Source organism: Homo sapiens, chromosome 5 (assembly GCF_000001405.40).
Source record: "Homo sapiens chromosome 5, GRCh38.p14 Primary Assembly".
NCBI lineage: Eukaryota > Metazoa > Chordata > Mammalia > Primates > Hominidae > Homo > Homo sapiens.
This window is the reverse complement of record NC_000005.10, coordinates 159073902-159099995: the sequence shown is the minus strand read 5'-3', so window position 1 is coordinate 159099995 and position 26094 is coordinate 159073902. Positions and strand designations below refer to the sequence as shown.

Genomic DNA, 26094 nt, shown 5'->3' with positions numbered 1-26094 from the left:
GCGCGAGTTGAGTCTATTGTTTCTTAAATTGCCATCAGGGTTTTTTTTTTTTTTTTTTTTTTTTTTTTTTTTTTTTCTTCCTGCTTCTTCAAGTGAAGGGTACCTCTACAAAAGGAAACTCCAGCCCCTCCTGTCCTCCACCGGCCTGTGATCATTACAAAAAAAAAAAAAAAAAAGCAAAAAAAAAAAAAAAGCACCCAAACCAAAAATCAACCAACCAAACAACCCCCAACAGCCAAGCATACATCTCTAATTTTATTATTTTGGTCTTTTCGTTGGATTTTCCCTTTCTTCTTTTTTTCGGGTTATCGCTCAGTTTTGAGCAGAGGTTTACATTTTTTAAAAATTTGCTTTCCAGCCCGCCTTGATCTTCTAAGTGCGAGTTCATCGTCTGAGAAAAAAAAAAATCTCTGGTTGGCGTTTTTGTTTCTTTTCTTTTCTTTCTTTTCTTTCCTTTTTTTTTTTTTTTAATTTTTTTCAAGGGGGAGGAGATTTTCCACAAGAAAAGGTTGTTTTCATGTTTGGGATTCAGGAAAGCATCCAACGGAGTGGAAGCAGCATGAAGGAAGAGCCGCTGGGCAGCGGCATGAACGCGGTGCGGACGTGGATGCAGGGCGCCGGGGTGCTGGACGCCAACACGGCGGCGCAGAGGTGGGTACTGCGCGGGGACCGCGGCCGAGGTGAGCCGCGAGCGGGAGAGCCGGGAGGCGGAGGCGGCAGCGGCAGCGGCAGCTGCTGCCGCGGGGCCGGGCGGCGGGGTGAGTCCGCAGCCGCTGCGCTCCGCTCTCCGCCGGGGCTCCGCGCTCTCCAGCCGCTCTGCCTTCGTCGCCTGCGGCCGGAGGACCTGGAGCTGTCTGCGAGGAGCCCACGCTTTGCCAGCACTTTCCCCTGCCTCGTCTGTGACTGTTTTCATTTTGTTTTAACCCAGAAGAGGCGTCTCAACACAGCATGTTGGAGATCTGTGTTTTATGTTTTTATGTGATTGCTCTTTCTTTTCCGGCCGGCTCTCTTTTCTTCTTTCCCTTCGCTCTTCCTTTCCCTCTTTTCTTTTTTCTTTCTTTCTTTCTCTTCCTTCCTTCCTTTTTCTTTCTTTTTTCTTTTTCTTTCTTTTTTTCTTTCCTCCTTTTCTTTTTCCTTTTTCTTTCTCTTTCCTCTTCCTGCCTTTCTTTTTTCTTTCTTCCTTCTTTCCTTTCTCCCCCCTTTATTTTCTTCTCTTCTCCTTCCTCTTCCTTTCTTCCCCTCTTCCCTCCTTCCATTTCTTTCGTTCTTCGTTCTTTCCTGTCTCTCTTCCTGCCTTCTTTTCTTTCTTCTTTCTTTCATTTCCTTCTCTCATTTCTTTCCCCCACCTTCCCTTAATTTCTCCCTCACTCTTTTCCTTCCTCCCTTCCTCTCTCCATTTTCTTTCTCTTCTTTCTTCAGCTTCCCTCCTTTCTCCTCTTTCTCCTTTCCTTACCTCTCTGGCTTTCCTGTTTTTTCGTCCCATTTCTCCCCTGAGTCTTCTCTTATTTCTGCTATCTCGTTCTCCTTCCCTCCCTCTCTGTCTTTCAGTTTTTTCTTAGTCTACCGGTAGAATAGCAACTCCCAACTTTAATTCTGATATCTCCCAAAAGTCTTCTCCAGCCCCTGTCACCATGGCCCCTTCCAGCCCTTCTCTCACTCGCAGCTCCCTAGACACTAGACTGTGTGGCCTGGAGGCATTGCCCTTGGAGGTTGACCTGAGGGAACTTTCCTGGGCACACCCAAGGCTCTTTCCCAGGCTCCTGGTCCCAAGTGAGAAATGGCCTTTTTCCCCCCATTAAGCCACCAGCTGAGCTTGGGACAGTGGGAGATCTGGTGGCCCCAGGCCCTATCGGACTCAGAGTGCGGAAGGGGAAGAAGGAAGATGACTAATTACATCATCTCCAGCTTCCCTGGGCTGGGGACAAGTGTCCCCAACACTGTTCCCATCCCCACTGAGTATTAGGATGGGGGTGGGTGGTAGTGAGAGTGAATTGGGTAACTGGGCTGGAAGTGAAAGTGTGTGCGCGGGGCGCTCGTGTGTGTTCTTCTATGTGTGTGTGTGTGCCTGTGCGCGCTTGTGTTGGGCAGGTCCGGCTGTCAGTGGCCGCCTGGCGCCCCAGGCGCTCCAGCCTCCCATCGCCGGCCGGCGCACTGAGCCAGCAGCCCTGGCCTTTAGGATTTCTGGAATGAGTGTGAGGATTTCTGCGGAACAGCGAAACTTTGTTAGGACAGGTCTTTAAGAAAACACCCCTCTTCCCTTTTTCACAGCGACCACCCGCGACAGTTCTGAGCCCCGCCCTCGGACCCTTCTCCACATGCTTTTTGGTGGTGGGGGGATGTGGCTTCCCAAGGCCGGGCACTCGCAGTTGGCCAGAGCTTGAGGGGTTCCTGGAGGGTGGCTGCTGCGGCGAGACGCCGAGCATGTTTTCCATCCATTCCCACCTGCCCTGCTAGCTGAGACGTGAGATTCGAGGGGTGCCGGAATATAACTGTGGGTTCTACTCCGCGAAGGTGGGTTCACTTCATCCACCGCCACTTTTCTTCCTCCCCACGCAGTGCGTGTCAGGTAGGAGTAAATGCTTATAGAGTTTCATCTCGCGCGCAAAACCCAAACAAAACTTTCACACCTCTTCAGCGAGTTCTGAGGACGCACCCGTCCTTGGCGGAGAGGACGAGGACATGAGGGGACATGTGTGTCCCGTTGTCAGCTGGGTCTATGTCGCCTGAAGGGGCGTGAAGAGCGCCCACTGGATGTTTTGGGGGAAGAGGAGGTGGGTGTTTGAGGGTTCGAGTGTGTGTACAGGGTGACAAGGGGCGCGGGTCGGCGTCCGGTTTAGCCATCTAACTCTGCGTCTTTGGCCGCAGCGGGGTGGGTCTGGCCCGGGCTCACTTTGAGAAGCAGCCGCCTTCCAATCTGCGGAAATCCAACTTCTTCCACTTCGTCCTGGCCCTCTACGACAGACAGGGCCAGCCCGTGGAGATCGAGAGGACAGCGTTTGTGGGGTTCGTGGAGAAGGAAAAAGTAAGTGGGCGCAGCGCTGTCGCCCCTCGTCCCCGGCTCGGCTCGGGAGCAGGCCCGGGAGCCTTGGGCAGCGCGCCCTTCCTTGAGTGCAAAGCATCCATAACACACTTCTATGTGGGGGTCCCCCAAGCCACTTCCCATCCCAGACGAACCCAGGGTCCTGGTCCACTGGCTCCTTCTCCAGAAAAGTTCGCACGGAGCCCCCAGAGCTAGAGAGAGGCAAGCCTGGCTCTACAATCCACAGCCATGGGCACCCGGAATGAACCCGCCCTCCACTACCAGATTACGCACCGCCTGCCTCTGGTGGCCGGGGCACGAGCCCCTAGGCCCTGGAAAGAGGATAGCCTGTGTGCGCCCGACGGAATTTTCTTTTGGGAGAGAGGGAGCAGTCAGGAACAGGGGGCGGAGGAGGGATCACAATTGGCCACAATTTCTGCTGCTACCGTGGCTGCCTGGCTCGCCAGCGGGGGTCCCGGCTTGGGGAAAGTTGCCTCGAAAGTTGGTCCACTCGCTCACGCAGACCTCTCTCCTGCATCTCTTGTGTCTTTGCGTCCTGATGCAACCCAGGAAGCCAACAGCGAAAAGACCAATAACGGAATTCACTACCGGCTTCAGCTTCTCTACAGCAATGGTGAGGCCCGGGTCGGGTCTATGGCCTCACCCTGGGGCTCCGGGTCTGGGCAGGGGGCGCAGGGAGCTCCAGGTGGACGAAATCCTCCAGCGAAGGTCAGTCATCCGCTTTATTTGAGGTGAACCAGCCTCTCCTAAATTTCGCCCCAGGAGGTTTCACCTGAGGAGGCTCCTAGTGGCCCAAGAGCCTTATCGGTCTCGCGTTTACCTGGGGCCAGGTGTAGTGCCTCATCCCTCCCTGAGCCACTTTCATTCTTCCTCCCCTTCCTGAGGCCTGTTCCTTTGGCTTGGCCCAGGCTGCAGGCCCATGGCCCCTTGGGCTTAGGGGCTGAAGGGTCATGGCCTTGAAGGCTGTGTGCGAGAGCAGAGGGACTCTTGCCGTGAGAACAGACAAGTCGGGGTACCCCCATCCCAGTCCCAGCTGCAGAACTTGGCGTCTGGCTTCCAGGAGCGCTAAGGCAAGGCCAGCAGCACCTCTCTGGACACTGGGGAAGGGAGATCGTGGCTGTATTTTCCAGGACAGTGGGAGTTCCAATCAGCCTTGGAGCCCCTTTCGTGATATGTGTGTGGGGGTTTTGTTGTTATTTTTTGTTGTTGTTAATTATTGTCCACCCACCCTCCGTAACCTCTCACTTAATTCTCCTCCCTTCCCCCATTTCCAACCCTAGGGATAAGGACGGAGCAGGATTTCTACGTGCGCCTCATTGACTCCATGACAAAACAAGTAAGTTTCTTGATTTTGGGCCACGGGGGGCTCTATGTCACAAAATTCAGGGCAGTCAAGAAGCTAGTTGCTCCACCGCAGGTGGGCTGGGACTCTAACTCTAAAAGCCAGCGGGGGCGGCTCAGACCAAACTTGCACGGCCTTCCAGTGTCCATTCATGCGCTTGCACCGCCGCGTGGGGATGAGGGCTCGACGCGCGCGCGTCCCTCCAAGGGAACTCGGGCCTTGTGAATTAAGACTGCAGGGTGCTGAGTGGCGAGAAAAAGGGCTGAATTTCCTCTGACCCGGCCAGGGAGCCCCGAAGGGCTCAAAGGTGCCCAGGGACCCTGGTGCGGAGTGGGCTGAACCTTTGAAACCCAAGCAAGCCAGGCCTCCCCGGGAAGCAGAGGGGCGAGGGGCTGAGGGGGCGGAGGAGGGGTGGCAGAGGCGGCTTCCCCAGGAATGATGAGATGGGCTGAGAGCGCAGATGACCATTCTGCAGATTTGTTTTCAAAGGGAATGATGGTGAAGGTAGTGTTGAAAGAGGGAGCGACAATTGTTAGAGGATATTTTGCAAAAACCCTCCTGCTTTTGCCTCCAAGTTTGGCAGGAAGCCAGGCAGCATGAGTGAGCTTGTGGTCTTAAAGGTACATAGACGGCATTTTCTTAAGCTCCCAACACGCGGGTGTCAAGCAGTATACATTAAGGTTGAGTTATGGTTTAAAAGATACAATTATGAGCCGAGTCAGAAAAGAGGCCTGACGTTTTAATGAGGCACAGGAGCTTTTTCCCCTTCTTCTTAATTTTAAGAAAAAGTTTAGTTTCAGAATTAAGTAGCTGGTTAGGTAGTTGGAGGAGTTAGTAGCAGAAAAAAGAAGACAGCTTTATTGGGTGGGGGAAAGAAATTAGAACAAAGAAAAAAGTTATCCATTGTGTACTAACCAGCAATTTAGCAAGAGGATTAAAATTTATTTACTTGATTGTGATTTTAGAATGTTTCCTTTAAAATAAGAGAAATGATTTTCTTTCATAGATATTGGCTGAGAAAGTTTCAAATTAGGGTATATATGCATATTTAAAAATTATTTTTAGATACACCACGGCTTAAATATGTGGTAGAAATGTCACATTAATAAGCTGTTGGGCATTTTAAAAATCTAATCTTCAAGAACCAATTTATTAACAGCTATTTTTGATGATCACTTTCATATTTCGATATGACACAAGTAGAAAGCAAGAGTATGAAATCTATTTTTTAAAATAAAAATAAAGATTGAAATATATTTCATGTTATTTGCCTAAAATATTTGGCTTTCTTAAAAATCTGTTTATTTCTCAGTTGATTGCTCAGAGTAAATCACCATTTATAATTTTTGGTCTTGGTTTTATTTTCTTTAATGGATTTAATAATTGCATAGGATAATTCACTTTCATTTGGACACTGTGTTTTTTTTTTTTTTTTTTTTTTTTTTTTTGCCTTCCAAGGCAGAAACACAAAAGCCTGATTTTTAATAACTTTTTTTCTTTTGCGATGTCAAAATAAAAATGTCTTAAGTGGAGTTTTGTTTTCAAAAATTGCCTTTGATACCCTGGATATCCTTTCCTGCCATTCTCATTACAGGAAAAAAAAAAAAAAAAAAGTTGGGAGGGAGAGGGGGAAAGTAGGAACTCTAAGACATACTCTATGTGTATTTATTAGGATTTACTTTCTAAAAGATAAAAGGCACACATACACAAATCAGTACATAAGGCCTGTCTGCTTGTGCAACATTGACCAATGAAATATTAAATTATAGGTAGCACTATGAAATGAACAATTGTAAGAAGCACAGAATTAAGACATGTTTGAAGTGATTAATCGCTCTATGAATTAAACCTCCTCAAAATTTTATTTTAAGTCTCTCTAGTCAAAAAGTGCCACTACTAATTGATTTTCCCATTATGGGATGAACTTACCTTATACTCATATAAAAATGGGGGAGAATCATCTTTTGATATTTTTAAAGCAATACATCAAATATCATTTTACTAACAAGGTCATAGAGCTTAAGAAAAACTGCAGCTTAAGGCATTCTTTGACCACTTGGTGTCATAAATTCTATCAGGAAAGAGGGAGGAAGAGAGAGAGAAAGAGAGAGAGAGGAATAAGAACAAGATTAGTTTTATTTTCGATAATAGCACTTATGAGAAAGTCATTTGCCATAATATGACATCTCAGTAAAAGTCAAAATTATAAATGCATGCAATGATATATTTTGGTGGGGAGTGGCCTGAGAAAAGGTTGAATAATTATCTAAGTCTAAAAAATATCAGGAAAAGGAATATTTCAAAGCTTACCTGTGTGCTTTCATAATAATTGTTTAACCACCTCTCTGTAGCTTTCACTTTGAAAGGCAGTTCCTACTCATTATCCAATTGCTTGTTCTTTGATTATGTGCTGCAAGAGTTTTGGAAGTAGGTTAGCTTCTTGTCTACAGGGTTAATACAATGGCCTCCAAAAAGCAGATAGATGAGCGTGAAGAAGCTTAACTTTCCCTAGGTGTGACATAAAAATAATTGATATTTAGCCTTAATGAGTAAAACAGTTAATTTTCCTCTAGCTTGAAATTATTCTATCATAATTAAATACCAAGTCTGATTTAAAATTTCTTGAATCTTTGATTTTAGTTTAATATACAGTGGCTCCTTAAATCAGATGTAAGTCTTGATATAAACTGATGGATTAAATGATTACATTTTTTTTTCCTGTGAAATTCTTCCTCATACATTATGGATTTTGATAATTATTTAGAGTACAGAATGAAACACTTCTGGTCTGATAAGTTCTGATAACATCATCAATTGTGGAAGGAATACCTAGCCACTGTTCAAGTGTCTTTTCTTAGCTGCCTGTTTATTATAACATTTTTCCTATCAGAGATGCAGCTTTATGTGAGTGATGTCATATTCTTGACTAGAAAGTGGGGTTAAAACTCAAAAGGAATTTTGGACAAGCAAAATTTAAAACTATTTTTGCATTCTACATTTCCATAAACTGTTCTTGATCTTGGGTGGGATTAGCAGCATTGAGATAGAAAAGAAATGTACTCAATCAACCAAGATGTGTTGGTATGACACAGTATTTCACACCTTTTCAAAGTGTCTCATTAGACTATTTTGGGTAATGACTCTTAATTTTTGGACTCTACCAGGAAAGATGAAGCTTCATTAGAAATGAATATATAAGAATCTGAGATCCCTTATCCCTATGCCTTCATTGTAAAGCACACAGGATATAATATTTTAAAAATTCACCCACCAACTAGAAAATAAGAGGCTTGCTTTTGGGAAGGGTTGTTCAAAACCAAGTTTAGCTGGACTAAAAATAGTTTGTTTTCGTGTCATTACTGTTTTTGGTATTCCATTAGTGAGCATGCAGAATGCCCTGTAGGACCCAGAAGTTTATGGCTGCTGCATCCAGAAACAATATCTACTGCAGAAGCTCAAATGAATCCAGTGGGGGAGGTCTGAGGTTTAGTGGGCATCCTTTCAGATTTTCATGTAGTATTTGAAATATGATTACATTCTGTGATTGCTATAGTGAGTTATATATCTTTAAATAGTTTTTTTTAAGTTTAGCTTATCTCCCCTCTTACCATCTTGCTTTAAAAGAGTGATATTTTATAATTCAAAGAAAAGATACCAAATTGTATTAAGTTATCAAAACAAAACACTCTTCCCCTAAACAAAAGCCTGCTTGAGAAGCAGGAAATCGTAGTCACATAATCCTTGTATGTATGGATTTGAAAGTAGATGATGTAGTGAGGAGACCGTGAAAAGGTTCCCAGGACAGTGGGGGGTCCAAGGTACAATCATCAGAAATGCTATCAGGTTTCTCTTCCCAGCTAGACTTCTTGATATATTTGTTTTGATCTTCCCCGTACTTTAAGGTATTGATGCAAGTGTATTTTTTTCCTATTGATTGTTTCATTATATCCTGCCATGGCTACATAGATTTGATTAACAACCCTTTCAGTTCATGGTTCTTCATTGGTAGATAAACACATTTTCAGTATATCAATAAGTTCCCAAGGAATTCACTAGGCCAGCAGAGAGTTTCTTTCATATATTTGGGGAAATAAACAAACAAAAAAGGACACAGCAAGTTTATAGTCAGAGGCCATATTTCAGCAGCTTTCTCTCTCCTTTGGTAACATGTCAAAAATGCAGGTGATTTAAATTTCCTTGCACATAGAGGAATGAAGAAGTTTGGAATTTTTATGCATGATCAGGACCTGTGTTTGGGAAAATGTAAACTCATCACAGTGGAAAATGTGTTGTTTGGAGTCTGGGGGTGAAAACAAAGCTGATGGTTTTGGAGAGATTGCCGGAGCCAGATGGCCTAGTACTTCCCCAGTCTGGCGGGCCAACTGCTCCCTCCTGGATAATATACAGCCATTTGTTCGGGGATATTTACGCTAGAGCTGTTTCCATGTGAATGTTTGAACAGCATTAAAAACGAACATATTAGTAGAGATGCATTTATTGAACTCATATGACTGTACAGATAGTCTGTTCTCTCTGTCTTATATTGCTGAGAGCGATGAAGGAGTGTTTGGACATTGGTGAATTGTCTACATAGTTGTTGAGCAAGAATGATCTGGTTTTAGTGAGCAATTAAAATACATCAATGTTTGGAATCAGACTAATGGAAATAATGTTAGCACCTACCTTGAAGCTCCGTTGTGAGAATTAAATAACTTCATACATGTTAAGAACTTAGAACAGCGACTGGTACAAATTAAGTGCTTAATAAATTAGATGCTTTTATTATTATTATTATTATTATTATTACCCCATTGGGTTGACAAAGCCAATTGTATTTACTAATGTAGGTGTAAATGTAGTTACCATAGGAGTGAAATATCTTTTATTTGTGCTAGAAAAAGAAATACAATATGGGATTGTTAGAGTGATTTAGTTTTTTATGGTGTTTGAATAATATAAGGGGTTTTAGCTCTTTGAGACATAAAAGATGCATTCTAAAGCTAACTGCTTTTGGTACACATTCTCTTTTTATTCAGGGCTGTGATGTAACTGAACAGCACACTGAATCTGATATCATTCCTTCGCAACTTTCCTAATTCACTTCTGAAAACGGGCCTGCTTAGCTGCTGAGCTGAAATTACATCTTTGTAATTTGTTCACCAGTAGCCAAGCTGCTAATTGAAGCAAAATTATTTTTTTATTTTATTCCACTACTAATGTTGGATTGCTGTTTGACACGTTGTTTATGAAATGTCAGATTTGTAGTGTTTCCTTTGGCATGGTTTAATTTTTAACTAGTGTGCCTTCACCTACTGGAAATTTCTAAGACCAGATTAGCTAGCACCTTTTTTTTTTTCTTTCTTTTTTTTTTAATGACAAACAGTAGAAATTGGTGGTTGAATGTAATGATTATTATTATAGTGTGTTGATATTGTAGGTGTGCATATCATTTTTTGATTAGCTCAATTCTTGGTAATTTGCTGCCAAAGGCTTGTTGACAGTTTGCATTCAGAAGACATTTCACTTTTGGTTACAGCAGGTACTTTGTGCATTCATGAACTTATTCTCTTAGGTGACAAAGTAGGTTTGGCTTTTTATTTTGTAAGGGGAAAAAGGAGTAACATATTTTCAAGGTACAGTTTTGATTTAAATAGAAAATTAGAAGTCTTTGTTAGTTACTGATAACCTTTCTTTTCCCTCCCTCCAATCCTTTCTTCCTACCTTCCTCTCTTTTTCTTAATTTCTTTTCCTTCCTTTCCTTTCTTCCTTTTTCTTTTCTTTTCTTCTTTCTTTCTTTCCTTCTTTCTTTCTTTCTTCTTTTCTTTTTTCTTTTTCCTCTTCCTCTTCTTCAACTAATGATGATAAGTTTCCTTTTGTTTGCTTATAAATCAAGAAAGGTTCCTAATGAAAATATTTTGTTTCTAAAAATCCTTTGGATTTTGCTGAACCAAAGTCAAAAGTATTCTCTTCACCGCCTTTATTTTGTCGTGGAACACAAAGAGTTAAAACTATTAGAAAAGTAAACACAGAAAAACCATGTTCAATTCTCTGTATTTCCTTTGGCATCCTATTGAAGTGTGATCCCGGTGTACATTCACTGTGTATTTTTTCATTTTACTGTGTGGTCTTTACCCATAGTAAGTTTCAATTAACTTTTAAGACCTAGCAGTATTTAAGAAAAGCTAGAATGAACTACGCTTCACAGTATGTCTTTCAAAACAGTGGCAACTCAGGCAGGTTTTTGTATATTGATTGATTGGTTGATTTTCAAAGATATTACAGGTTACTTTATAATTGAGCGTTTAGAATTGATGATATTTTATTCATAACAGTGAAATTTCCAGAGATGTTTTTGCATAAGAATATGCAAGTTTAACAATTTCGATGTTTTCTTCTTCTTTTAGTTAATTATTTTAAATATCCTTTAAAAGCCCCTTAATCTGAAGTGAAGAGAGTATCAAAAAATAATATGAGATATTTTCTTTCTACTCATTAGAGTATGACAGCAGAAAAGGTAGGCTAGTATATCACAAAAATAAATCTGTTCCAAATATATCCACTTTTGACAGCTTGTTTGTCAATTTCACCAGGTTTTTAAAGTTGAGATGAGGTTAATGTTGTTTACTATTTAACTCTTCCTCTTATACAAGCATTCCTGTCACCTTAAGGGATTTATTTGCCATTGGCAGGATTAATTTAAACATTGTTTTCTACTTGATATTGCATTTTTGATTCTTAGGTTACAAACCTCAACTTGATTCACTATCAATTGATTTACTTAAATAATATATTTTATATGATTTTTCTCCCCCTCCCACCCATCTATATAGCAGGCATCCCATCTTCACTTCAGATAAACACATTGATTTATTTAAACCAGTGTTGTCTTTGTCCCTCTCACAACAGACAACCTTCCTCATAGTGAGCAGACTCATGATTTACTATGGAGGATGAAAATAAGCCTTCTTCTTGGTGTTTCATTGTCTGGGCCCTAAACCAGCTGTCTATTAAAATGGTTTCACTTAAAATAGCCAATGCTGTTTATATGCTTCTGTGATCTCCCAGCTGATCCAACCCCAACCAGCTTTACTCATACACCACAGAGGCACATATTTAAATTAGGAAGAAACGCAGAAACTTCTCCCGAAGTTGGTGTTAGCAGGATCCCTGTCCTTTGGGGCTTAAAGTCTGGGTTTGCTGAACTGTGGACCAGTGTTGATGTGTATGCTAAATGTAGATGGTAAAATTGATGTAGGGCTATCAGTTGGGTGTGCAAGCTGCAGGGAGAACTTTAGGGCATTTTGAAAATTCTTATTGTTGCCACTCTGCATCAGAGACATTCATCAAAATGAATTTATTATATATTCCTATGCTGGATCCAATCAGGATGTTGATTTCCGTGCCCATACCTTCTGTATGATAGGGGTACATGTGTGTATGTGTGTTTAACAATACTTTTCAGTAACAAAAACTGCTTTGATGAGGTTAGAGGTGGATCTGTCTTTGACTGAATTCCACTCTAGAGCTAACCTCATTACACTGAGTTTTTAGTTTACTTTAGTTACAGGATTTTAGTCCTACTCCATGGTGGAGTTTCACTTGCTTTTATTTCAGAAGTCATGGAGGCAGCACTTCTTTCTCTGCCTTTATGTGCTGAAAAATATTGTTCTATAGAGGCCCCAAGGAGAGGGAGAGAAGAAACTTCATGCTTGCACTCCTCCCTAGAGTTCCTAACTATTTCTGAGCAAATCCAAACTGATGGTTTCATTTTTCTGTGCTTGATTTGGAGAAAGATTCTGTTTTGACTCTGCTGCTGGAAGCATAGTGGCAGTGTGGTATTTGGTGAAGAGATGTATCATGGAGGCAAAGGGCCTTAAACAAGTGATATTCAGTCACCAAAGAAGTGACACAGGATTTCTGGAAGTCTGTATCATCTGCTGTTTGGGAAAACCATGAATGTATTTGTATTGCAGCATTGCATCCATTGAATATCATCATGGGCCCACTAATTTCAATGGAACCAGCAGTCTTAGTGAAACTAATATTTGCGTCATCTAGAAAGAATTGAAATAAAAAGATCTGATGTAACTGATAATTCCCCCTGCCTCCAAAAACCAAGCTTTTCTATATATATGTGTGTGTGTATATATGTGTGTGTGTGTATATATATATGTATATATATGTGTGTATATATGTATATATGTGTGTGTATATATATGTATATATATGTGTATATATATGTGTGTATATATATATGTGTATATATATATGTGTGTGTATATATATATGTGTATATATATGTGTGTGTGTATATATATATGTGTATATATATATATGTGTGTGTGTATATATATATATATTAGGGAAAGCCCCATCAGTATCTGTGAATTTATTTACCAGCTTACTTCTTTTAGCTTAGCATGACAAATATATTATTTTTTAAAGAGTGGTGGAACCAAAACATCACAAATATTAAAGCTGAAACAGAGATTATTACGAGTATTTAGAGAACATACAAACCATGTAGTACTAATAGGATTTAGAAGAAATGCTTCATTAGAGTTTTTTAGCATCATGTATGAGATCTAATAAGTAATTTACTGTGTTTTTTAAAATGTTTTCAGGAGTGATTGCAGGAAATAAAGCAGGCAGATGTAATTTTTGGTTTTCAAAACATTTTTAGTTAATGCATTTTCTTGAGTAATGCAACTGCTTAGGATTTTGAAAAGGTCTTTTAAGAATACAGCAAAGAATAATCAATGCTTGCTGAAACTAGTGGATGAAAATTTGACACATAGTAAGATATTAACACAATCTGGATTACGTCTACAGAAGATAGTTATGAATTGCATAGGGTAAAGTAATAACTTTACCCTGGGGAAACCTGGCTCATGATCTCTGATAGCAAGCACTACCTTAACCAAATGGTCAGAATTTATGTTGCCAATAGTGGAACTAGTCAACAACATGATTTGATACACTGAGAAGAACTCAAAATCACCTCTGTGTTATCCCTGCCCTGAAGTATGTAACTTTAATCCAAGCCTGAGGAAACGCAGGCAAACCCAAATTGAGAGATGTTCTACAAAATAACTGGCTTGTGTTCTTCAAAAATATCAATGTCATGAAATATAAAGACTCAGAAATGTTCCATATTAAAGGAGACGTGATAACTGGATGCAGCATTGGATTTTCTTTTGCTGTAAAGGACATTATTGGGTAACTGGTGAATCTCAGTAGGGTCTGTAGATTAAATTATTGTATCAATGTTAATTTTCTGATTTAGATAACTGTACTGTGGTTATGTAAGAGAATTCCTTATTTTGAAGACATACAGGCTGAAGTATTTAGGGCATGTCTGCAATTTACTTAATAAATGATTCAGAAAAAACTACAGAGAAAAGAATAAAGCAAATTTAATAAAATATAAACATTTTAGTCATCTGGTAAAATCTGGATGAAGAGTATCTTGGAATTTTTTACATATTCTTGAAAGCTTTTTGTAGGTGTACATGTATGTCAAAGTAAAAAAATTTTTAAAATACAAGGTATTATAGGTTAGCCATAAAAAGTGGTTTCGATGGGCCAATGGTGGAGAAGTATTTTTTCCTCATGCAAGTACATTTTCTCATTTTTTATTTTACTGCAATGTTCATTTTGTAACGGGATCAGATACCATAACCACAGTTCTCTCTGAGGATCTATACACACTGGGTCGCAAGTTATATTCATCATTTACAGGTTCTGAAAGTCCCAGGTTCAAAAACAAAGCACGTTAGAGTCAACTACAAGTTAGTCTTGTAGCATCTGTATGTACTATATAAAGATATATATACTATATTAAGATATATGTACTATATAAAGATAGTCTCTGGCTAATTTAAGTAGTTTTGTCATCAAGAAATTGAGGGCTATAGGAATGTGTGAAAGTAATTTTGTTAACAATTTGAAGCCGTGTGATATTAGTATTATGCCGTGATACAGTGTTAAATTAGCTAAATGTAGCCCACTGCAGAGCCCTGCTCTGCTAATAGCTGTGTGCATTGCTTTGGTCCAGGTATTAACATGTAGATCCATGAAAGCTGAGGTCCCAGGGAATCTTCTTGGTGTCCTTGAGTAAAATGTTCGTTTTACAAACACATTACAAAAAATAGAAAAAACTATTTGGGCTGGTGAGGTGATTTGGGACTCCAGATTTTGAGAGTCAGTTGTAACTCTTCTTAGTTTAGGGAGATAACTTTATGGCTTAAATCCACACACAGAGCATATGCCAGCGAGTATTCCTGTTTGGGTGGGTGTGCACCCTGTGAGAGCACATGTTCTCAGCCTGTTGATGGGAAGAGGGATTTTCCCTGATTGATAAATCATTGCAAACATGACACAGTTAGTGAATGGACTCCTTAGTTCACCTACACTTGTTTTCTACTACCCATCCCTGGAAGACTAAATGTTGAGCCTGGAAGTAGTAAAGTGAGGAGGCAAATACATATCATTTAAAAATCAAATCCAAATGCTTTTCTGTATTTTCGCTAAATAGTATCTCAATCTGCTAAGCCTTCTGGGGTTTCCCTCCTTATTGATGAGATTTATTTGTATTCTATATTAAAAGGAGAATTGTGGCTGTCTTGCCCATCTCATACTCTGATCCAGAGATGTGCATCATGGCAAGGTGGTTGAAGGGGCAGAGAGGAACATGCCTTTCAGGTTAATCCCGAATATCATACCTTCAGACGATCAACCCAGTGATGTCTTTGGCTCCTCAAAGCTAATTTGGCCTTCAGTAGTGGTGAAGTGGTTAAGAACTCAATTGTGATTTTTTTTTTTTTTCTGCTACTCCTTTCCATTCTTAGCTAAAACTGTGCTTTTGCTTTTAGGCCATAGTGTATGAAGGCCAAGACAAGAACCCAGAAATGTGCCGAGTCTTGCTCACACATGAGATCATGTGCAGGTAAGAAATATCTTGGTCTCTCCCGTTAATTAGCAAAGAGAAGATGAATTTGCATTTCAAATCTTGGTGAACTTTGGTCTTTTTTTTTTTTTTTGGTACACATTTGTCTTGCTTCTATAGACAATCTAAAAAGAACTGTTAGATGTGAGTATTTGGTAGTAAAGTGTCAGGCATCACAGTAGTTCTTAATTATTTATTAGATTTCATCCCGAAAGACATACATTTCCATTTTGATATCACACTGTTAATGGGCACAAAGCACTGCCTTCCCCTACTCTCTTAAAATCAAATAAAACAATATAACCCTTTTAGTGTTAATATATGCGCTCAACTGCATTGCTAGTAAAATGAGTAAGAGTTCTATTGATGTCAGCAGAGTCTTCTGTTTGGGTAAGACTTGAAAGTTATAGTTCCCCTTTCTAATTCTCCCACTTGAAAATATGACGTCCACACTTAGGCATCATTTCTTCTTAAATTGCATGTGGGTTTTTTTTTTCTTCCTCTTGCATCTCACCTCTTATTTACCCTATATATAACTCTGACAATGTAGCCAATACTTCGCAGAGGTAGTGAGCTTTTGGAAGGAAGGCAAAGATGAGTCCCTAAAAGGCATAAAATTCATGTGACCCATAGATGAGTGTCTTTATTTTTGCCTGTAATCAGACTGAAGCTACATTTGAAAACAGGCAAGTAGACCAAATTAACTTCCATGGCCTCAGCCAGGCTTTCCACATGTGAGGGAGTAGGCCAGGGAACAGCCCTTTAACTTGCATTCTTATTCTGCATAAAGTAACACCAGCAGTTTGCTCCCAATATATTCTGAATAATTGGATAAAGCATGAAGATGCCACTGTGCATCAGAGAAAGGCTACTAATTGCTTTGTTAACCATGCAGGCTCTTCCTGGCACAATGCTGGCCTGGCTGCTGACTATTACTGACCAATCCGTTTAGGGCTTCAGCTGCTGCCTCAGCATGGATGGGCTTTATTTGCTGCTTGTGGACTTGTGGGGGAAAGCAACCTTAAAACTCTACAGGTGGAAAGAAAAAGGGCTTAATGTGCTTTCTGAGTGAAATCCCAAATACCAACTTCTTGTATGTCTACAGTTACGTATGGATATACAATTTTCATTTTTTCCCTTTTAAAAATATTTCTAACATATTATTCTAAAATATATAGGAGTTTCACAAGTTTTCATTTCAGTGATTTGTAAAACTTGTTAACTATTATGAAAATAGGTTGTTTTTCTCTAATTTTAAAACAGTAGCAGAACCCCCAAAATATGGCAATAGATTTCTTTATAAGATATTATTAGGCAAAAATTAATGTTATATTGTACATAACAATTCTACAATAAAGCTGAGTTGCACCTTTCAGAATTGTGAGTAAAATTCATTTTAGAAAATGTTAAAACATGACCTCTTTCTTCTTACTATCTTTTTGACCATATCTCTGTTCTGGCTTCTTACAATTAGCATGTCATTAGAATGAATTTTCCATGTTGTACTACATGTGATTCTAGCAAAATAGGAAACAGACAGGAAGATGGATCTCAACCAATAGGCCAAATAACATCTATATATCATAGATTTGCATCTCATATCTGCACATGTTTAGACTATGCTAGAAATCATTCTATTCTTGAAACATTTAAAGATATATTATGCCTTTCACACACAGGCCTACCCTCTATTAATGCAGTTTATATTTTTCTTGTTTTTAAAATTCACTGGTCCAAAGTACTTTATTATGCTGGTTGGTGTGCTTTACTGCTGATGTTCTTTCTATTTTTCAGAAACATAAAAATAGCAAAAATAAAATTCTGAAGCCACTGAAGGCAAATGATGATGTTTGTACTGCGTGGCTAAGAGGGAAAAGCCGTATTCAAAATGTCATCCTGCTAATGTTACAGATTACGGGTTTTCCTGGCTGCCTATAGATGTATAAGGGGTACTGTTTGTTTACCAGGCTGCCATGACCCTATTACACAAACCTGTCATCTATTGTGTGGCTAACAGTCTTTTAAATTGCAAATCTGATGCTCTTTAGGGGGCTTTAGGAAAAAAATTCTCACTTTCCACACCATCCTATTTCTCTTGATTTCTTGCCTGTTTTAAGTGGAAGTTGGGATGTGCTGAATTTGCACCAGGGGTGCAAATGCAGGCTCAATTATAAGCATAAAATTAGAGTCTGTTCCCCATTAATCAGGCTGGCTAATTGCTATGCACCACCATTAGCCATATGGTGTGAAAGACAGCTTGCTCTCCCCAAGATGAAATTTCTTCATTGCAGACATGAAATAGTGAGGGCCCTGGATTTTAAAATAGCTTGTTTCAGATATTTAATTTCTAAACAACTTTCTGCAGTGCTTTCTATCAAAGCTAACGGCACAATAAAACTTTGTGTTGATGTCATGAAAGCTGTATATTTATAGTATGTTGGCTATGGTGAAGGAGACACAGAGAATTTAGATCGACAAGACAAGGCTTGGTATGATTCTGTTTTGTTGCAGGCAAAGGGGGAAAAAAAAAGAAAAAATGAGAAACACCAGAGAATTGTGTCTCAGGTGGTTGCAAATTTTTAAAATCCATTGTGTTCTGTCTGAAAGGTGACCCCACTGCCTGGGCTGGATAAGGGACTGGCCACCATTGGATCATATTATAATTATTATTACCACTCAGAGACAAAGCCTCTTTGACTGGACATGGAGCTCTTTCTGTGAAATTCTGAGAGAGTCTCTGCCTGTTTGGTAAATTGGAATCTATCATATCAATCATCATTACATTTTGCTATACCTGTTGGCTACGCTCTTAAAATAATACGGCCCCACACATGATTTTCTAAAGCACGATTCTAGAAGAGATTTGATTAAAGGGCATCCTGACATCCTGTGTTTAAATGTGGATGGAAAATAAGAACTATGCTTGGTCAGTGAACCTAGTTCCCAGAGCTCTGTTTAAGAAAGACCTCTTTCCCTCATCAGTGTATGGTTTCTTATAGGACCATGAGTTCTCAGGGCTCCCTTGAGTTCCCTTTTCTTCCTTTCTCTGTTACTGGCTTATTCTGATTCCATCCTTCAGATTCCCACTTAAGCATGGCTTCTTCAGGGAAGCATCCCTGGCTCTCAGCCTGAGTCAAGTCCTATTGTTACGTTGTCCTGTAAACAGTGGTCCTCTTTTATCCATGAAGGATGTGTTGCGTGACCCACAGTGGATGCCTGAAACTGCAGATAGTCCTGAACCTTACATACGCTATATTTTTCCTATACATGCATGCCTATGATAATGTTTAATTTATAAATTAGACATAATAAGAGATGAACAACAATTAGTAATAAAATAGAACAACCATGAAAACAAACTGTATTAAAAGCTATGTGGATGTGATCTCTCTCTCCAAATATTGTACAGAATACCAGCCCTTTGGGAGGCCAGGGTGGGAGGATTGTTTGAGCCCAGGAGTTCAAGACTGCCCTGGGCAACATAGTGAGACCCCCCATCTCTATAAAAACTGAAAGAAAAATTAGCCAGGCATGGTGCATGCCTGTATTCCCAGCTACTCAGGGGGCTGAGGTGGGAGGATCGCTTGAGCCCAGGAGATCCAGGCTGCAGTGAGCCCTGATTGCACCACTGCACTCCAGCTTGGGTGGCAGAACGAGACCCCATCTCAAAACAACAACAACAAAAAAATGTACTGGACCACAGGTAACTGAAACCATGGAAAGCAAAACCATGGATAAGGGGGACTACTGTCTGCTGTGCTTTTCTTTCATAGCACTCAGCACATTTGTAACTTTTTGCCCACAATCTGTCTTCCTTTGCTGGACTGATTGCTTTTTGAAGGCAAGGAAGTTACTGGGTGTTCCTCTGTCTTCAGTTTTCGTATTTCTGAAATAGAGGATAATATTACTTATCTCAGAAGTTGGTGATTAAGATTAAATGCAATAATCACCACAAATGCTTATCACAGTGCCTTTACACACAGTAAGTACTGAATATCTACTGTTATTATTAATAGTAAGAGTATTTGTATTAATAGAAGCAGTAACAGCAATATTTGCAGTGTGGGGCTAAGTACTTGGTGCGCAGTTGTTTGGTGTGAATGAGGATAAAAGAACTTTGAATCAAAGTGAAATGTCTACCAAAACATTCATGCACTTTGTTCATTCTAGTTGTGGGAGTTAAGGATGTTTTCATTTATTCTTTTAGCACCTACTATGTGCAAAACACTCAAAAACGGAGAGCCAGGGAAGACTTTGTTCTGTAGTAGGGGAGCTTATGGTGTGGCCTGGGAGATGATATTGGTTGGCAGATAACGAGACTGCACTCTAGAAAGGGTTGAATGTGATGAGAGGTTGAGGCAAAGGGCTATGTCTATTCAGAGAAGGGAGGAAATACTTGTAGTTGGGTAGCAGGAATAGGGAGGGGGATTTTAGAGGGTGCATGAAGTGTTTGGGCACGTCTGTTTCAGTCCAGCCAAAATTTCTCTGTGGAGAGTCCTGCAGGTGGATGGTCCTGAGTTCTGGATCTGGAAATAAAGTTATGGTCAAAGATAACTGACTTCAGAGGTCGTTTCCCAAGGGTGAGAGTTGAAGCTATGGGCTTAGATGGGATTGACAAGGGAGGGAGAATAGAAAGAGAAGGCATGGCTATATTCTTGGGGGGAATAATCACGCTTAGCAAGAAGGCAGGGTGTGTTAGAGAGTTCAGAAAAAGAAGCTTGAGCATACAGAGCATAGAAATAAAAGGAGGAGGTCAGGTACGGTGGCTCATGTCTGTAATCCCAGCATTATGGGAGGCCGAGGTGGGCAGATCACTTGAGGCCAAGAGTTCAAGACCAGTCTGGCCAACATGGTGAAACCCCATCTCTACCAAAAAATACAAAAATCAGCTGGGTGTGGTGGTGTGTGAACCTGTGGTCCAAGCTACTCGGGAGGCTGAGGCACGAGAATCACTTGAACCCAGGAGGTGGAGGTTGCAGTGAGCAGAGATTGCGCCACTGCACTCCAGCCTGGGTGACAGAGCGAGACTCCACACCATCTCAAAAAAAAAAAAAAAAAAAAAAGATAAAAGGAGGGTGTTTCAAAGAGGGGGAGTCATATAATAAGTGCTAGAGAGATCCAGATGGACATGAAGGCTGAGAAAGCACCAGACAGTCACTGGTAAACTTTAAGAGGAGATTCAAGTACATGCTGAGGGCCTGGATGCCCGTATTATGTGGTTGAAATGGCAAGTAGTGACAGGGACTCTTATAAGAAGGATGTCGGCAGTGAAGAAACTAACTCAGAGAAAAGAAGGAGCATCCTTTTAAAATTTTAGACAATGGGAAAACTTGATAATGTTTGCAAACTGAAGGAAAGAATTAACCAGGGAGGGAAGAATGGCAAATGCAAAACAGAAGAGGAGTCCTTGGTGGGGCTGGTCCCAGGTAAGGCAGAATGAGACGGACCTGTGAGCTCAGGTACTTGAGTTAGTGTGACGAGGATGGATCACTTACTTTAAGACATGGGAGGAAGAGAGAGGATAGAAGAGCCTATTATGTAATGGATTCTTTAAAATCAAGTCATCTTTATAACTATTAATAAGACTATTCAGATAAATCATAGATCTCAGTCTCTAGCCACTTTAGGGAAATAGGTAAGGCATCTTGTTTTTTACAAGTTTGAAATGATGCTTTCCTCCTGTTGAGAAAGACACTATTCATAGGAAAAAGTTCCATGTCCCTAAGATGAGGATCTGCCGATTCCATGACTGGGAATATTTAGGTGTTTCTTGCTCTAGTTTATGAAGCTCTAGAAATACGCCACCTGTGTTAGGCTGGTAAGAAAGAGACTCATAAGTTCGCTTTTCTCTGGATGTGCAGAATTGTTTGGGAGACACACAATCCTGCTGAGGAAAGGGCTGCTGATTTCGGTCCGTAGTGTAGGTACCACACCAGGTGCTGGCTACCAACGCCTGAGACTGGCCACATTGTTCTCATGTCACTGGGGTTGCAGGTTCGGAAGGGATGTAAACAGTGGCCTGCTTTTAAAATCTTACCCTGGCAGCAAAGCAAATTAGGAAACTCCAAGCCTTGCAAGATGCCAGCATGAGAGAGCAAATCCCAAGTCTGTGCCTGGTACAGTGCCCAACACACATCGTAGGAGCCTAAAAAATAGTGCTTTGAACGGATGAAGGTCCATCAGTCACACAGTAATGAGGACCTAATTATCATTGTGATTTCTTTTATTAACACTGTCACTTTTTCCGTTAAGTGCTTTTGCATCTGTTTCATCTACGGAATTGTTTCAGTATGAGCCCTCTTCTGCCTTAAACATAAGTGAATTCATTCTCCTTTCAGCTTTTCCTTCCTGGTTTCCTCCTGTGTATAGTGGAGGTTGGTGCTCACTCTTGGTCCTTCTGAGCTTAGCAGAAAGAACTATGGGCAGTTCTACCTGAAAAGGGAGAACTCACATGGGCAGGAAAGAGCATTGTGGCAACAAAGGAGAGGTCCTCACTCTGCTCGGCTCTAGGAAGCCACAGGGGGCTTGATATCAGCTCAGTCTACAAGAAGTCTTTCCTTCCACTGCTTGTGGTTGATTTTTAATTTTTAATGTAAAAGCATATTGCCATATAAAGCAGAACACTAGCCTGGGCGTGGTGGCTTGCACCTGTAATCCCAGCACTTTGGGAGGTCGAGCTGGGTGGATTGCTTGAGCCAGGGAATTTGAGACCAGCCTGGGCAACATGGTGAGACTCAGTCTCCACAAAAAATACACAAAATTAGCCGGGCGTGTTGGCATCTGCCTGTAGTCCCAACTACTTAAGGGCCTGAGGTGGGAGGATCGCTTGAGCCCCAGGAGGTCGAGGCAGCTGTGAGCTGAGCTGAGATCACACCACTGCACTCCAGCCTGGGAGTGCAAAAAAAAAAAAAAAAAAAAAAGCAAACCACTGCAAAAATATAAAAATAAAATGCACGTCTTCCATTCTTCCCCACTGCCTGTTCCACTCTCTATAGGTTAACTCTTTGAAGTTCCTACATTTAAAAAATATTTCCTGATGGCATACTGTGTGCCAGGCTCAGTTCTAGTTGCTGGGGTCTATGACTGTCTTTGTGGGGCTTATATTCAGGTGAGAGAGACAATAAAAGACAAATGAATATAAAATACAACATGGTGAGTACTATGAAGAAAAGTTAAGCAGAATAAGGAGCTAGAGTGCTCTAGGGCAGTCATTTCTTTCTTTTTTCTTTTTGAGACGGAGTTTTGCTCTTGTCACCCAGGCTGGAATGGCACGATATCAGGTCACTGTAACCTCCGTTTCCCGGGTTCAACCGATTCTCCTGCCTCAGCCTCCTGAGTAGCTGGGATCACAGGCACCCACCACCACACCCAGATAATTTTTTTAAAAATTTTTATTAGAGATGGGGTTTCACCGTGTTGGCCAGGCTAGTCCCGAACTCCTGACCTCAGGTGATCTACCCACCTTGGCCTCCCAAAGTGCTGGGATTATAGGTGTAATCCACCATGCCCAGAGGGGAAGGCATTTCTAAAGCCGTTGACATTATGCAGAGACTTGAATGAAGTGAGGGAGTGAACCATACTTGTAAAAACTGTCTCTTCCCCTCCCTCTCTCCCTTTCACTCTTTCATGCTTTCATTTTTCTCCCAGAAATGGGGCCATACTTTGAATAGTATTCTGCAACTTGGTTTTCTCAAGTCACAATATGCTGTACATTTCTTTCCATTCCAGTGCTTCTAACTCTACCTTCATTCTTTTTAATGCTGCACAGAATTCCATATACACATGTATGTGTACACACACATCCATATATGTACACTCATATGTATGTATGTACACACATATGTATGTGTGTGTGTATATATATATTTAACAGAATCATACTGTAGACATTATTTTGTAGCAGACATTATTTTGAGGTGCAGAACAGAAGCCGGAGTAGCTCATTTCAGGAATAATGACTATGTGATGCAGTGATATGACCCAAGAAACAGGAGACATGTTGGGCTTATTTTTCATACTTGGCCTAAAGTTTTTTTTGTAAGTGGTGAGTGAACTCCAGCCCTTTATTCTTTTTTCTCTACTTTTCTTCATTCTCCCCATTTCATTTCTATATTTCCTTCTACACTTCTGCTCTTTGCATCTGCCTATTTCCCTGGGTCCCTTAGAAAGGAATGCTTCAATTCATCTGGCTGCTCTCAGGGACATTTTTATTTTTAGATGACGACCGTGCTTAAGTGAAAAGGAAAAATCTCAGGCCTGGTGTGGCATGCTTGGGGGAGGTGGTTTGTTCTACGGGTTGGGATGAGGTGCACCTTCCTTCCATCAACAATGCCTTGGATTTATCTGTCACCCTTTTATTCTTCCGGATTGTATTTGCCCCCCAATACATAACATTCATTCATAAAATTATTCATTTATTCAATCAATTAATATTTGAGCTTTTCTATTCTACCCCAGGCCTTATGCCACTCATTAGGTAAGTAAAATTGATAGTTTCTTCCTCTACGAAGTCTATGAGTTAAAGGAAGAGAAGAATAAGAAGAGGGAGAAAGACAGTAACAAAAAATACACACACATATATGTAAAAATATAATTTGCATTGAGTTAAGTGCCTTAAAAGGAAAAAAAAAAACAGGAAAAACCTAATTTAGATTAAAGGTGGGGTGTCAGGCCAAACCTCTCTGGGGAAGGAGCTATAGGCTGAGCTCTGAGGGTGAGAAAAGATTGGCTAACTAGGGAAGGGTTGGAGGAGAGGCCCGCCAGGCAAGAGTCGGCCAGGGTCTGGGCCTGAGGTCAGATTGAACAGGGCACAACTGAGAGGGATTGAAATGGGCCAGTGCGGTAGGAGCTTGGCAAGTTGGAGGAAGGGGGCAGAAGGTTGGGAGGTGGTCTGGTATCATGTCATGTCATGGATTTGTTCTAAGTGCAGTGGGAAGCCATTAAAAAGTCTTGGGCAGTGAGATGGCACAGTACCACTGACATTTGGAAAAGCTCACTCTGGCTATTGCAGGGGGTCAGAGTGGAGACAGAAAAGTAGGCAGCCACTGCAGAGTCCAAGGACTTGGATGGAGATGGTGTAGTGGGGGAGGAGAAAATCAGATAGGCTTTAAAAACAGACCCTTGTGCATGGTTATCAGCAAGCAGGTTGGAGGAGTTCCTGGAGGACATTTCTCCCAGGCAGGTCTGTGGGCAGCTTGCATTGCCTACTTGCTGTTTTGAAAAGGAAAATGAAGGAGAAATAGGTTTTCTCAACCGGCAGTTTTCCTCCATGGGTAAAGGAGACGTGGGCTCTGTCGATGGGCTGCTTTTGGAGACCTGCTGCTTCTGCAGAGCACAGGGCAGATTTGCCTGGACTTGAAGGAGGAAGGGACTGAAGAGGGTAGGTGCAGGGGGTGATAATGATGCTTCATTGTGGCTTTAGTGAGGCTAGTCATGAAGCCAAGTCTTTATACCCTTATTGCCTCAAGCCTGTTCCCTGGCATTTAGAGGTAGATACTGCAATTGCTCCATTTTACAGATGAGGAAACTGAGATCCTGTGAGGTGGATTACCTTGCTCAAGTTGAGATAGGCAGCTCTGTCAGATTTCAGAACCAGTGTTCTTAACCACTATACTATTCTGAGAAGCCCATGAAATGTAGGTATAGGGGATCAGAGTTCAGGGATGAAGGAGTTATATTTTTATGTATTTTCTGGCATGCATTTCAACTGCTTGTACTTTCCACTGCTTCAACTACTTGTTACTTTATCTGTCTCTTAGATATCATGATACTTTGGTTTTTCCATCCCAAAAGTAGCAGTATATAGCAGAACTCAGGCCTGGAGGAAATAGTTCCCTCTGAATCAGAAGGTGAAAGGCTATAAGGTAGACAGAGTGGTTTTAGCCGAGGCTTTGACAAAGGAGATACAGTTCTTACTCTTACTCTCCGAAGACATGAAAGAAAAACAGAAGACACTTAAGAGTGGAGACTAATTCTCTTCTCAGAGGCATAGTTATGGCAAGAAAAGAGACTTTCCAATTTTGGTGAAGGACTCCCTACGCAGGAGTATATTTCTGGGTCCTGAAGATGAAGTTCAATATTTGGTTCTCTCCAGCAGCCCTCTAAATTTAGGCTGTATGATTCACTAAGTTGTAAGTGTGCGCGTATGTGTGTATCTCTCTCTGTGTACACGTGTGTGTGTAAGAGCAAGAAGTGCATATTTGCTTGTGGTGCTTGGTGAAATGTAAGTTTTGGAGGACCTCCCTCCCCATCTACTTCACTGCTTTTATAAGTATGCCCCTGGTGCAGATCTTGTTTTTATTTGCAAACAAGTTTCAGATGGATCGTTTTCTGTTGACCATTGTACTTTTCAAAAACATAAAATGTTCACCCTTTAGAAGGCATCTCAGTTTTTAAAAAACTGGCAGCCACAACTGGCAGGGGAGATTTTAGTAATAGGTACTTTTCGAGCCCATAGGCTCTTCCTTCTCTAACATAAAGAGCGTCCTCTCACAGAGCTGTGCTAACCTTTACTTCCAATGTCCATAATGCCCCCAGAAAACTTAAGTGAGGGTCAGAACAGGCTTTTATAGCCAGAGGAATGTGAATCTCCACTTTCTTTTATCTTGCCCCTTCCTTGTCTTAATTATTGTGTTTTACCTTTATTCTCATGAAAATGGTTCAAAAGCAAACCTAGCTGTAGGATTTTTGGAAAGGCTGTGGTTGAAGGAAATGCTACCCATAAAGGAGAAAAGAGAAGAAAAAGGAATCCATTTAATACAAAAT

General features: G+C 41.0%; 1 protein-coding gene across 25 annotated transcripts in view, besides 5 other annotated features; it reads left to right on the top strand.

Moving 5' to 3' along the window:
• The first annotated feature begins 79 nt into the window (after window positions 1-79).
• The window catches only part of EBF1 (EBF transcription factor 1), a 403997-nt gene continuing 377982 nt past the window's right edge, over window positions 80-26094 (top strand). For 12 of the 25 annotated variants that reach the window (NM_182708.3, NM_001324108.2, NM_001324106.2 and 9 more), the window contains exons 1-5: window positions 80-651; window positions 2866-3022; window positions 3590-3653; window positions 4321-4376; window positions 15257-15330. In NM_182708.3, coding sequence (NP_874367.1) covers window positions 518-651; window positions 2866-3022; window positions 3590-3653; window positions 4321-4376; window positions 15257-15330 — 485 coding nt within the window. In that variant the 5' untranslated portion in view covers window positions 80-517. Of the gene's footprint in view, window positions 652-2039; window positions 2772-2865; window positions 3023-3589; window positions 3749-4320; window positions 4377-15256; window positions 15331-26094 lie in introns of those variants that run through there. The other 13 variants (XM_047416890.1, NM_001364156.2, XM_047416889.1 and 10 more) reach the window with 5 other exon arrangements.
• Window positions 618-907: a silencer, noted in NCBI's record as "silent region_16568". NCBI's record gives its function as "represses an Ori minimal core promoter by ATAC-STARR-seq in GM12878 lymphoblastoid cells {active_cell/tissue: GM12878}" and the evidence as "EXISTENCE:reporter gene assay evidence [ECO:0000049][PMID:35858748]".
• Window positions 1550-2443: an enhancer, noted in NCBI's record as "H3K4me1 hESC enhancer chr5:158524561-158525454 (GRCh37/hg19 assembly coordinates)". NCBI's record gives its function as "activates a minimal SCP1, AML or CMV promoter by ChIP-STARR-seq in naive H9 embryonic stem cells {active_cell/tissue: H9 hESC(naive)}" and the evidence as "EXISTENCE:reporter gene assay evidence [ECO:0000049][PMID:30033119]".
• Window positions 3338-4231: an enhancer, noted in NCBI's record as "NANOG-H3K27ac-H3K4me1 hESC enhancer chr5:158522773-158523666 (GRCh37/hg19 assembly coordinates)". NCBI's record gives its function as "activates a minimal SCP1, AML or CMV promoter by ChIP-STARR-seq in naive H9 embryonic stem cells {active_cell/tissue: H9 hESC(naive)}" and the evidence as "EXISTENCE:reporter gene assay evidence [ECO:0000049][PMID:30033119]".
• Window positions 8090-9219: an enhancer, noted in NCBI's record as "VISTA enhancer hs1123". NCBI's record gives its function as "enhancer in: cranial nerve[5/9]" and the evidence as "EXISTENCE:transgenic organism evidence [ECO:0001131][PMID:17130149]".
• Window positions 16867-18162: an enhancer, noted in NCBI's record as "VISTA enhancer hs1117". NCBI's record gives its function as "enhancer in: neural tube[7/8] | hindbrain (rhombencephalon)[7/8] | forebrain[7/8]" and the evidence as "EXISTENCE:transgenic organism evidence [ECO:0001131][PMID:17130149]".